Source organism: Homo sapiens, chromosome 10 (genome assembly GCF_000001405.40).
Source record: "Homo sapiens chromosome 10, GRCh38.p14 Primary Assembly".
In the NCBI taxonomy this organism is placed as follows: Eukaryota; Metazoa; Chordata; class Mammalia; order Primates; family Hominidae; genus Homo; species Homo sapiens.
This window is the reverse complement of record NC_000010.11, coordinates 104142406-104154598: the sequence shown is the minus strand read 5'-3', so window position 1 is coordinate 104154598 and position 12193 is coordinate 104142406. Positions and strand designations below refer to the sequence as shown.

The following is a 12193-nucleotide window of genomic DNA, read 5'->3' as shown; positions in this document are numbered from 1 at the left end:
TATGCTGATGTTTTCATTATCTAGGAACAGGTGAACTTGATAAAGGGCCACCAGAAGGACACAATCTGTGGGACTTTTCCGTGGCTATGAGATAGCAATATAAATTATTACAAGCAAATGACCCTGAGATGTGTTTTTTTCATATTTGTTTGTTTTATTTTCATATCTCCTCACTGTTAGGTAGCTTAATTTGGATGGTCTTTGTCCTGGCATCATATGCCTCTATTATTTTTGCTAAACCTCTTTCTCCATTATCCTCCCGGAATCAGTCTCTTTCCTTATTAATCTGGCATAGAGAGAACTTGGCTTTTCAACTTTTTAAACTGGTGTATATTTAAACTATTTATTACCATCATAGTAATAATTAATTTAAATAAGAATTATCAATGGATGCTAAAGCTGTTAGATAAAAGTGTGATGAGAAACAAGATATTTACATAGTCTCAAAGTATCTTTCCACAAATTAATAAATTACAAATGGAAAAACTAACTTTACAATAGAGAAAGTGGCAGACACTACTTAACCAAGTGATCCAAGTTAACATCACCAATAATGAAGCAAACCAACATCATGTATCTCCTGATGGGGTAGTCACAGAAGGACATAACATAACTTACATAGTGTTCCTGCTAAAAATGTGTAACCTGGGTGTACAATTGAGAAAACATCAGACAAACCTAAACTGAATGACATTCTACAAAATAAGTGGCCTGTCCTCAAGTGTCTGCAAATTATTCTCAAATGGTTCAGAAAAGTGTAGGAAAGAAAGTAGATAGGTAGGGGGCAGAGGGGCAGGGGGTGGGAGAGAGAGAGAAGAGAGAGAGAGAGAGAGAGAAAAGTGATAAAGCAAATAGGGTAGAATGTCTACAGTTGGTGACTTTGAAAAAGGTATATGGAAATTCTTTGTACTATTCTTGCAACTTTTCTATAAGTTTGAAGTTATATCAAAATTAACAGTTGCAAACAAATTTAAAGATAAAAATGATTTATAGCAATATACCTCATTTTTTACATGTTTTTTACTTTGTATGTTTTAATTTTAATTTTTGTGGGTACAAAGTAGGTGTGTATATTTGTGGGCTACATGAGATGTTTTGATACAGGCATGCAATGTGAAATAATCACAACATGGAGAATGGGATATTCATCCTCACAAGCATTTATCCTTTGGGTTATAAACAATACAGTTACACTCTTTTAGTTATTTTTTAATGTACAGTTAAGTGATTGTTGACTATAGTCACCCTGTTGTGCAATGAAAATTTTACCTCATATTTTGATGTTGTTCTCTTTAAAAATATAAATTTATATTTCACTTATGTCCTGGTGGAATTTTTTAAAAAGAGAGGACAAGGGAACATTTTCCTTTTGATATAGAACTGTTTGGAGAGACAAAACATACAGAAAACAAGAGAGTACAAATATATAAATATACATATATGTGCATTCACTTCTTATTTCCTTAAAATAGAAATAATTCCATGAAAATGACCAGTGCTTGAGAAAAATAAAAAATTTTTTAGGGCTAAATCATGTGTCTGGAGATTGCTGTCCTATATAAAGAGTGAGGATTTTCTGGAAAGATTTGCTGCAATTTGCTTTCCTAGGCCTACTTCTGCCTGTATCATTAGCCATGATCAGTAATTTTAAGTTTTTTTCCCCAATGTAATCTTTTCTAAGCAAAAATCTCAACACACAGTATATTAAACAGATCCAAGTGGGAGCATCTCTGGTTTAAGAGAGTACAGAGCCCAGAACACCTTGCAAGGGCTGCCCTCCATCTGCCCCTCCCTTGTGGTGAAATGTAAACATCACTTCCTAGGAGCCTTTAATACTCTTAAACGTTAACTTTACTATTGTTTTCCTTTTAGTCATTAGAAGCAGAACTGAAGAAACTTCAAAACTCTATTCAAGAAAGCACACAGGCCTTTGATGAACATTTGAAAAGACTTTTTGAAAGGAGAGTGAAGGCAGAGATGGTTACCAACCAGGTAAATAAAAGCTTTACTTATGTGACTTTTAAGGAGCTTGCAGGGCCCTTCCATGGTTCTTAGGATGAAGATCAACATCCTTACCAGGTACTAAGATCTTGTATGCTCTGGGCCCTGCGTCCCTCTCCAGTCTCATCTTGTGCACCTTCCCCTTTACCTGCCACACTTCCTCTTTGAACATCTTGAACACACCCAATACCCTCCCTCCTCATGCCTCTGCCAACTCTGCCAGTAATACTGTCTACCAACACTTCTTTGCTTCCTGAACTATATTCATCCTTCAGATCCCAGCTCAAAAATCAGTTCCTCACACTAGGTAATATCTTTCTATTATATACTGTATTTTTTCCTTTCTACCATTCATTGCTACTGAATTGTAATTTATGTGAGATTATTTTCAATGCTTTCAAGACTAGATGCTCCATGAGGGTAGAGACTAAGTCTGTCTTGTTCATCCCTGTATCTCCAGCAAATAGCAAAGGGCTTTGTTCAAAGTGTATGTTGAATGAAAAAGTAATCCTCATGTCCCAAAAGATCAGGTGAAAAAAAATCTGTCTTAATTATCTTCAGCAGTAGGAATAAAAATGAAGTATGCAGTAACTAAAAGCAAGAAGATCAAAGAGTGATGCCCTTAAATTCTGAGGAAAAAATTATTTCTAGCTTTGAATTCTATACCCAGCCAAACTATCCATTGAGTTTAAGAATAGAATAATGATCTACTTAAATGTAAATGTAAACCCCCAAACTATAAAAATCCTGGGAGACAACCTATGCAATATCATTCTGGACATAGGAACTGGCAAAGATTTCATGATGAAGATACCAAAAGCAACCACAACAAAAGCAAAAATGGACAAATGGGATCTAATTAAACTAAAGAGTTTCTGCACAGCAAAAGAAACTATCCACAGAGTAAACAGACAACCTACAGAATGGGAGAAAATATTTGCAAACTCTGCATCTGACAAAGGTCCAGCATCTACAAGGAACTTAAATTTACAAGAAAAAAAACAACCCCATTAAAAAGTGGTCAAGGACATGAACAGACACTTTTCTAAAGAAGACATACATGTGGCCAACAAGCATATGAAAAAAAGCTCATCACTGATCATTAGATAAATGAAAATCAAAACCACAATGAAATACCAGATACCATCTCACACTAGTCAGAATGGCTACTACTAAAGAGTAAAAAAATTACAGATACTGGTGAGGCTGTGGAGAAAAGGGAATGCTTATACACTGTTGGTGGGAATATAAATTAGCTCAACAATTGTGGAAAGCGGTATGGCAATTCCTCAAAGAGCTAAAAACAGAACTACCATTCAACCCAGCAATCCCATTACTGGGTATATACCCAAAGGAATATAAATTGTTCTATTATAAAGACACATGCATGCATATGTTCACTGCAGTACTATTCACAATAGCAAAGACATGGAATCAACCTAAATGCCCATCAATGATAAACTGGATTGAGAAAATGTGGGACATATACACCATGGAATACTGTGCAGCCATCAAAAAGAATGAGATCATGTCCTTTGCTAGAACATGGGTAGAGATGGAGGCCATAATCCTTATTAAACCAACACAGGAACAGAAAACCAAATATGATATGCTCTCACTTATAAGTGGGAGCTAAATGATGAGAACACATGGGCACATAGAGGGGAACAACAGATACTGGGGTGTCTGGTTTCCTGAGGGTGGTGGGTGGGAGGAGGGAGAAGATCAGAAAAAATAACTATTGGGTACTAGGCTTAGTACCTGGTGACAAAATAATCTGTACAACAAACCCCCATGACACAAGTTTACCTAGATAACAAACATGCATATGTACCCCTGAACCTAAAATAAAAGTTAAAAAAAGAGAATAATGATATTTTGAGAAATGCCGGGTCTCCCAAATTTACATGCACTCATTTGATGAGAGCTTTTGAAAGATGTCTGACCAAAGCAGGGGGCTTAATGAGAAAAGATGGTGCAACACTGGAGAGATGTGAAGGGAATCTTCAGGAGGATGACTATATCCCCAGGATCCCAACAGGAATGGTACACTGAAAAGGTTACATTTAAATTCCCTCAGTGACTTTTTACAGAGGTATGAGCAGGGTTAAGGGAAACAGCAAGGAGTGGCAAATGTGTTGTAATTAGAAACAATGGGAGGCCAGTACCATCTCTAGAGCTAAAAAGGCAGGGAAAGAGAGCTGTTCCCAGAACCAGCAAGACCTGTAGCCTTGGGAAAGGGGCTGCTCTTGGGAGTTGTGGCCACAGATAGAAGAATGTAATCACTGGCCTGGCAGGGAGTGGATGTATGGATATACTGGGAGTGAGGGGGAAGATTGGGAATGAATGCTCCAGCCTAACAGCAGCATTAGTCATAGCCAAAAGGTGGAAACAATCTAAATATTCAACAGCTGAGAGCAGATGAGTAAAATATGGTGTATCCATACAAGGGAGTATTATCCCACAATAAAAAGGAATGTGCTAATATATGGTACAACATGGATGAACCTTGAAAACATGCTAAGTCAAAGAAGCCAGACAACAAAGGCCACATATTGTATGATTCCATTTTTGTGGAATCATATAGTTTCTAAAACGGCAAATTTATAAAGCCAGAAATTAGAAAGTCGTTGCTTTTGTGGGGAGGAGGAGGCCTCTAGGAGGTAACAGAGGGGCAGATGGGAAATGACGGCTAAAGAATTTTTGGGGAATGATGAAATGTTCTAAAATTGATTGTAGTGATTGTTACACAACTCTGCAAATATACTAAAATACACTGAATTTTACACTGTAAATGGTGAATTGTATGGTATGTGAATTATATCTCAACAAAGTTGTTATTTTTTTAAAGGTATGCTGAGATCCTCATGTCATATAAGATAATGAGGAAACTAACAGACTACTCAGTAATATCAAAATAATTCAGGAGCTGACTTAAAACATTTCCTTTAAATGAGACAATTTAAGATTCAAAGATGATAATAGTTGTAAAAAATTAAACCCGTCACATTTGTTTAAATTTATGAATTTATGATATTTTAAAAAGAGAAGTGCCAATCAGTCACTTTCAGAGGATGAAAACAAATTCATTATCTAAAAACTGATAAAGGGAAAGCATCAAGTATTTTGTCTGCCTTTCCTATATGAACTGAAGTGTACCACTTTGAAACCAAATAGTAGATGATGAGAAGCATCTCTTTATAAAAGTATTTCAATTAATAAGTGAAAAGGGAAACTAAAACCAGATTTTCACCATTTTGCATCTCTCAACGGATTAATGGACCCGGGCGTTGAGTATCTGCAGCTGCTGACATCACAGAAAGAAAGACAATCAGATGATATATGTCTCCTGATCAAAGAACACAATACCACCTATAGTCTTGTTAAAAGGATCAAATTTAGATTTAATCAGGCTTCTGGACCCAGCTGCCATTTTTCAAGAAATAAAAAGGATGAAGCCTTGATAAACTACACCATGAATATACAGGCATTAAAACCAGACTCTGCAATGCTACAGAGACTGCTGATAACTACAAATAAATTATGAGGAAAAGAAATGAAAGGGAACGTGAAGAGTATAAGAGATTTATTTTATTTTTAACCTTTAAGTTCAGAGGTACATGTATAGGTTTGTTACGTAGGTAAACTCATGTCACAGGAGTTTGTTGTACAGATTATTTCATCATCCAGGTAGTAAAAAGAGATTTAAAAGACATGAAAAAAAATTATGAATAAGTTATACTGAAGTGGCTAGGTTTCTGTCTTAGTCTGTTTTGTGTTGCTATAAATAATACCTGAGGCTGCATAATTTATAAAGAAAAGAGGTTTATCTGACTCATAATTCTGCTGTCTAGAAGGTTCAAGATTGGGCATCTGATGTGGGCCTCAGGCCGCTTCCATTTATGCCAGGTGAAGGGGAGCTGGGGTGTGCAGAAATCACATGGTCAGAGAGGAGGCAAGAGAGGGTGCAGGGGAGTGCCATCCTCTCTTTAACAATCAGCACTCAGGGGAACTAATAGAGTATAAACTCACTCACCCCTGAGGGAGGGAATTGATCTATTCATGAGGGACCCATACCCATGACCCAAACACCTCCCATGAGGCCCCACCTACAGCACCAGGGATCACGTTTCAACATGCAGTTTGGATGGGGCAAATATCCAAACTACAGCATTATACACCCCTGGGTAATAAAACTACAAAGAAACACAATATATAATAAAAAGTCAAGATAGTGTTTAGTACTGGGGTTGAGATTTTGATGAGGACTCCTGGAAGAAGCAACTGCAGTCGTAAAGTTCTGTTTCTTGCGATAAGTGGTGCTAACAAGAGTGTTTGCCTTTATAATAACCCATTAAATTATATATTCATGTTATGTATTTTTTGTATATGTGATTTACCTTACAATGAAATTATGAAAAAGGTAAAATAACTGAAGTTATTTCAATAAGCTGTATTCCCTTTTTCTTTAAAATGTTTCTCTTACATTTTAAAGTTTATGTGTATGTCATAAACTTGCTTGATTAGTGCCAAGTCTATAGAAAATATTGTCTCAGGTGGAAGTAATTCCACCAACCTTTTTCTTAAATATTTCTACAGGAGGAACTGAAAATAAGTAACCTTGCATTTTCTTTATTGTTGGATGAAGAATTAAGCTCTAGAGAAAAATTCCTGAACAACTACCTTACAAGGAAACAGCACGAGAAAGTAAGAATAGTGTCTGAAATCTGAATACAAGCATTTTCTGATAGACATGCCCCTCATTTAGCAAGAGCTCACGTGTCTAGACCCTTCCTTCCTTCCTTGCACCATTCCTACATAACCATGTGCATCCCTTGGCTCCCTGTCTGGAACTTTGCTCCAGGGCCAGGTGAAAGTAACCATTCCAATCTGTTAATAAAGTTAGGTGATTCTGCATCTGCAATCATTTAGCCAAAAGAACTGTGTAGCTTTCATATGACATGGTTTATAAAATGAGGCCATATAGCTTCATGGTTGAAAGCACTGGCTGTGGGACCTAGGACAAGGCATATAACCTTTTAAGCTATTTGCAAGCTCTTACCTAGGGAATGTTTTTCTCTCTGGACACGCTAAGATTTACTAAGATGTAAGCAATGGGCTTGCGTATAGAATGAAAAACTGCCGTATTATGAAAAACTCTAAATATGAGCTTGGATAGATATGGTTCATTAAAAAGACAATGAATACAAAATGTTTATCACATAATGTTTCTACAAATGTCAGCTTTTGTTAGTAGTATTAGTAAAGAGCATTTATGAATGTGTGACTTAAAAATGACATGAACTTTTTTCTAAGAGCCTATTAAACAGCATATGCAAAGCTTCTTCTAAATACAACTTTACATATAGCAACCCTGCAGCATACTAGATTTCTTTCACAGATGAGGATACCATCTCAGAGAGTCTGGGTAGCATGCCTAAGTCAGCCACTAGTGTGTAATAGAGCAGCAGCTGGAACTGTGGGAATAAGTGAAGAACATCCAAATGCAAATGAGCAGATGCTGTTTATTCAGAGCTTGGCACAGCAAGGGACTCATCCACCATCAGTTACTTTTGGCAGACTCAAAGGCAGGAAAGGAGTAGGAAAGCTTTATAGTGCAAAGAAGAGAGGGCTTCAGATGCAACATCATTGGAAGTTGTTGGCATGAGGAAGCTAGAGGCAAACCAATTAGAAGCGGGACAACTCATTTTACTGGTTTAGGGAACATATTTGGCTTTCTCTGGATGGTCCTAGGTTGGAAATGGGGACAAAATTATAGAAGCTGGTGGTAATGATCAAGCCCTGAAAGTTTGAGGCCAATCCTTAAAAAGGCTGTGGTTTAGTTTCCCAGCTGATGATTGTAGAGGTTGTGGGTCAGAATTCTGTTGTTACATATGGTCTGGCCCTTGTTTGCATGTATATCCAGTCTCTCAGAACCCAGGTCCATGTGATTCCGAAGCCTGTGCACTTTCATCCTCCACACTGACTTACCAAGAATGCAGTGTGCTCCATAGACACTCACACACTCATACACAGAGTTGGCTGTACTTAGAAACAGGTGATTGGGTGTTCTTTCAAAGTCCCCAATTGGTGTATTTTCTTCTATAAATCTTATCTTCATGAATAAATACTTCACAGACATATTTCTCTTGTACTAGGAAATTCCTTGCTCTTTTTAGTATCCCCAATATTTTTGTTTATGCTGGAAAGTCTCCAGTTTCAATCAACTATTCCTGATGCTGTTATAGAGCCAGACTTCAGAAGCTGTTCGGAAATCTAGAGAAGACCTGGATGTGTGCAAGGAGCACTATGACAACTTACTGGCAGAAGACAAAGTGAGAGTTGTTGTCTTACCCACTCAACAATGCAGTAGAGTTGTTGCTGCCTGGATTGGAGGAAGGTTAAAGGGGATATAATATAATTTTCTCACAGATTTTTCTCCCACTTAATTCTCAGCTATGGGTGAACTTCATTCTATGCCATTGTATATTTTTGAAAATCCATGTGTAAAATGAATTTTTATAAGCTTCTCTGGTTTAAGCTTTCTGTTATACAAAATACAGGGAAATCATCTAGCCTTTAAGGCTTTTCAAACTTTAGGTTGCAGACCCCATTACTTGGCCATGAAATCAATTTAGTAGGTTATGACCAGCAGTTTTATAATGGAAAAGAATAGGATAGAATAGCATAAAGAAGACAGATGGAACAGAATGGAATAGAAAAGAAAAGAATAGAGTAACATTCATGTTTTTTGGGTAAATATATTTTGGGACACTTCTTTGGGAAACTTCTGGATGATTTCTAAGACCTGTTATATGAAATAATATTTTTAATACACTTAGATGCTTCTTATCAAAACAAATCTTTGAGACATCATTGCACAGAGAATGGTTAATGTCTAACAACTTTGTAAATCAAGGTTTCATGCATTTTTAAAACCAAAGTGCTACCACCTGTATTTTGAAGAGTATTGTCAACAAATAAAAGGTTTCCAAACCAAGTTGCAGTCCTCAAATGTCATGTTTGTCCTTAGGTTATGGATCGCAGCTTTAAAAAGGAATTTTCTGAAATTCCTGGTCATCAAGTGGATATACTCTACAAACTTTTTAAACGCCGACCAAGGTTTGTTTCTCCTTCACTATTGTGTTTCTGAGAAAAAAGTTTGCAAATAAAGAGGAGTGTTACTAGATTTCAGCTTTTTTCTCCCAATTAAATGGAATTATTCAGTGTAATATCTTTTAGGTGGAGATGTTTAAGGGTTTTGATCCTAATTCAGTATTTTTTGAGATTATGTCTATATCTTAAGGTAGAGAATAATGATTTATTTTCATTATTTAAAAATAGTTAAGGATCTGTGTAAGCACGGTACTATTGTAGATTCTGCTTTGTACATTAAGGAAGTTCCTCTTACATCATAGATGGCACACAGATTTAAAAACAGTTTTTTCTAAAGTGCGTTCAAACAAACACAAGTTCCCTGATGTATAAATCGGAACTACTTGTAATAGGCTTCCAGGACTAACTAAGTTTGGGGAAAATACTGGGTTAAAAAAAGGAAGTTAAGCAGCTTTTCTTTTACTGCAGAATGTATTATTGGCCTTTGGATCTCCAAGTGTAAGAAACAGAGTAAGCAGCGTTTTCCAAACTTATTTGACCACAAATTGCTTTTCCTCAGAGTATCTCATGTGCTTGTGCCTAAAGTTTGAAAGATGCCAGTATAAATGGTAGAAAATAACCATTTGAAAAGAGTTCTAAGAAAGTATCACTGATTTCCACCATTATAAATGCAGATTTCCAGTTTTCAATCAAATGTAATCTAGAAATCAAGGAGTTTGTCACAAAGATGTAGTCAGCTAGTTTGTGTTTGAGATACAAACTCTGACAGGTTATAGGCAACCTAGGGAATTTAACCTAGAACATGCCTCTTGTTTTGGTTTTCCTTTTTTTTTGAGACGGAGTCTCTGTCTGTCACCCAGGCTGGAGTGCAGTGGCACGATCTCTGCTCACTGCAACCTCCGCCTCCCGGGTTCAAGCGTTTCTCCTGCCTCAGCCTGCCAAGTAGCTGGGACTACAGGCACATGCCACCACGCCCAGCTAATTTTTGTATTTTTAGTAGAGACGGAGTTTCACCATGTTGAGCAGGATGATCTCGATCTCCTGACCTCGTGATCCACCCATCTCAACCTCCCAAAGTGTTGGGATTATAGGTGTGAGCCATCTCGCCCGGCGGTTTTCCTATTTTTAAAAGAGTGAGTGATAATTAGCCCAATTACATACCTTCTCCTTGTGGAAAAAGAAGTGAGACCTCCCGCAGCAGTGGGAAAAGCACAAGCTTTCTTGTCAAACAGAATCAACTTTAAATCCTAACTTCAACACCTGTCAGACTGATAGCCTTGGGCCATGAGCTTCTCTCCCAGGCTGACTTTCCTCATCTAGAGAATGGGGATGATAATATAGTTTCAACCTCACAGTGTACTGTAAAGCATCTTGATAGTGAGTGCCTCGCCCAAATCTTTGTACCCTTCTTCCCTTTCCAGCTGAAGCACAGGGAAATGAAACTAATCTATTAATGTAGATAAAAACAGAATTGGCCAGGTGGTGGCTCACCACTGTACTCCCAACACTTTGGGAGGCTGAGGTGAAACGATGGGTTGATTTATTTGCCTGCTTACAGTATACAGAAAGGAAATGTGTCCTAGCACAGACACAATTGTCTGTCAGTGCTGACAATAGTTGGAGACATCTGTAGTCTAGCCAAGGTCACGTCTGAGAACCTGGAGAGTATGGAAGAAGGGCAAAGTGGATCCCTTTATCTGTGGAATAACCCACCTACCAGCCATCACATGGCAAAGGGAAGAGCCATACAATGTGTTATGCCTGTGCTAAGGGCCTAATTGTTTCACATTGATGTTTTTATGAGAATGTGAAATGTTGATGGGCTTTTCTTGGTAATACCAGGATTTCCAAACAGAAAACGCACTCAGAAACAACCAGCGTTGTCCCTTTCGGAGAACTACCAGGATCTGGCAAGTTGAATAAGGATGCCTTTGCCCAGTTAATGAAAGCTATGGATGAGTTGGACAATATTAGTAACATGCCAGAAGGCTTGGACCCTTTGGTCTGGAATCATTTCTGCATGACAAGACGAGCAAAAGTGGAAAATGAACAGAAAGTATATACTATTTTAACTTAATTTAATTTTTAGTGTACTAATATCAAATACATAGTTTACATTGGTCAGTGTAACCAAAAAAGCTAATTATTTAGGTTTCCCTGCTAGGGTAGTATTTGGTCATAGTAATAAGATAATGAAATACTATATTAACCCTGGTGCTATTGAAGGCTAAGTGTAGGCCTGTTGCTTTTAGACTGGTGCCGTTCAAAATAGTGTCCATTAGCCACAAGTGGTTATTATGCATTTGAAATAAATATTGCCAGTCCTAACTGAGATGTGCTGTAAGTGGAAAACATACACATTAGAAGGCTTAGTATGAACAAAAAGAAATATGTCTCATTAATATTTTTATATTGATTATAGGTTGAAGTGATAATATTCTGGATACATTTAATTAAAATATATTAGTAAAATTAAGTTCATTTCTTTGATTTCACTTTTTATAATGCGGCTACTACAGAATTTAAAATTACATATGTGACTCACATTTATGGCTCACGTTATATTTTTCTTGGACAGCACTGTTGTAGGTTATCTCATTTTGCATAGATTAGAATTATATTTGGCTCAGCAGAACCAACTTTATAGTTTTGCTAGAATGTGGCAACGAGTAAAAATTTAAGAGGGTCTTTATTTGGGAAGAGAATCCTTCCTCTTGTTGCTTCTTGACCACTACCCCAAATTCCCTAAATTTAATGCCCACATGCATCAGGCTGGCATATTTTTGTTAAAGTACCTAGGATTCTATAATTTCACTTAAAGTGATGAGAACAAATTTTAAAAATAAGATATAAAAGAATTTATAGTTGCCTGCATACTTGATTTTCACCAAGAAGCAAATTTGATACTTTCAAATCGTTCAAATTGTTACATACCATGTAAGTTTTAGACATTTAAATTTAAATGTTTTATTACTTTCTTCGAAAGATAGACCTGTTAAGGTTTTTAAATTTAAAAAGTTAAAAGATGTATGTTGTCTAAAATTGAAGCTCCATATGTTCTGACATGTTTCTGGCT

The 12193-nt window shown here is 36.8% G+C and overlaps 1 protein-coding gene across 1 annotated transcript in view, besides 1 other annotated feature; it reads left to right on the top strand.

Moving 5' to 3' along the window:
- CFAP43 (cilia and flagella associated protein 43) overlaps nt 1–12193 on the top strand; it is a 102477-nt gene that overhangs the window by 77766 nt on the left and 12518 nt on the right. The window contains exons 28-32 of the mRNA NM_025145.7: nt 1873–1992; nt 6601–6708; nt 8250–8336; nt 9035–9123; nt 10960–11173. Of these exons, the coding sequence (NP_079421.5) occupies nt 1873–1992; nt 6601–6708; nt 8250–8336; nt 9035–9123; nt 10960–11173 (618 nt within the window). The remainder of the gene's footprint in view (nt 1–1872; nt 1993–6600; nt 6709–8249; nt 8337–9034; nt 9124–10959; nt 11174–12193) is intronic.
- Nucleotides 7277–7808: an enhancer, noted in NCBI's record as "OCT4-NANOG hESC enhancer chr10:105906549-105907080 (GRCh37/hg19 assembly coordinates)". NCBI's record gives its function as "activates a minimal SCP1, AML or CMV promoter by ChIP-STARR-seq in naive H9 embryonic stem cells {active_cell/tissue: H9 hESC(naive)}" and the evidence as "EXISTENCE:reporter gene assay evidence [ECO:0000049][PMID:30033119]".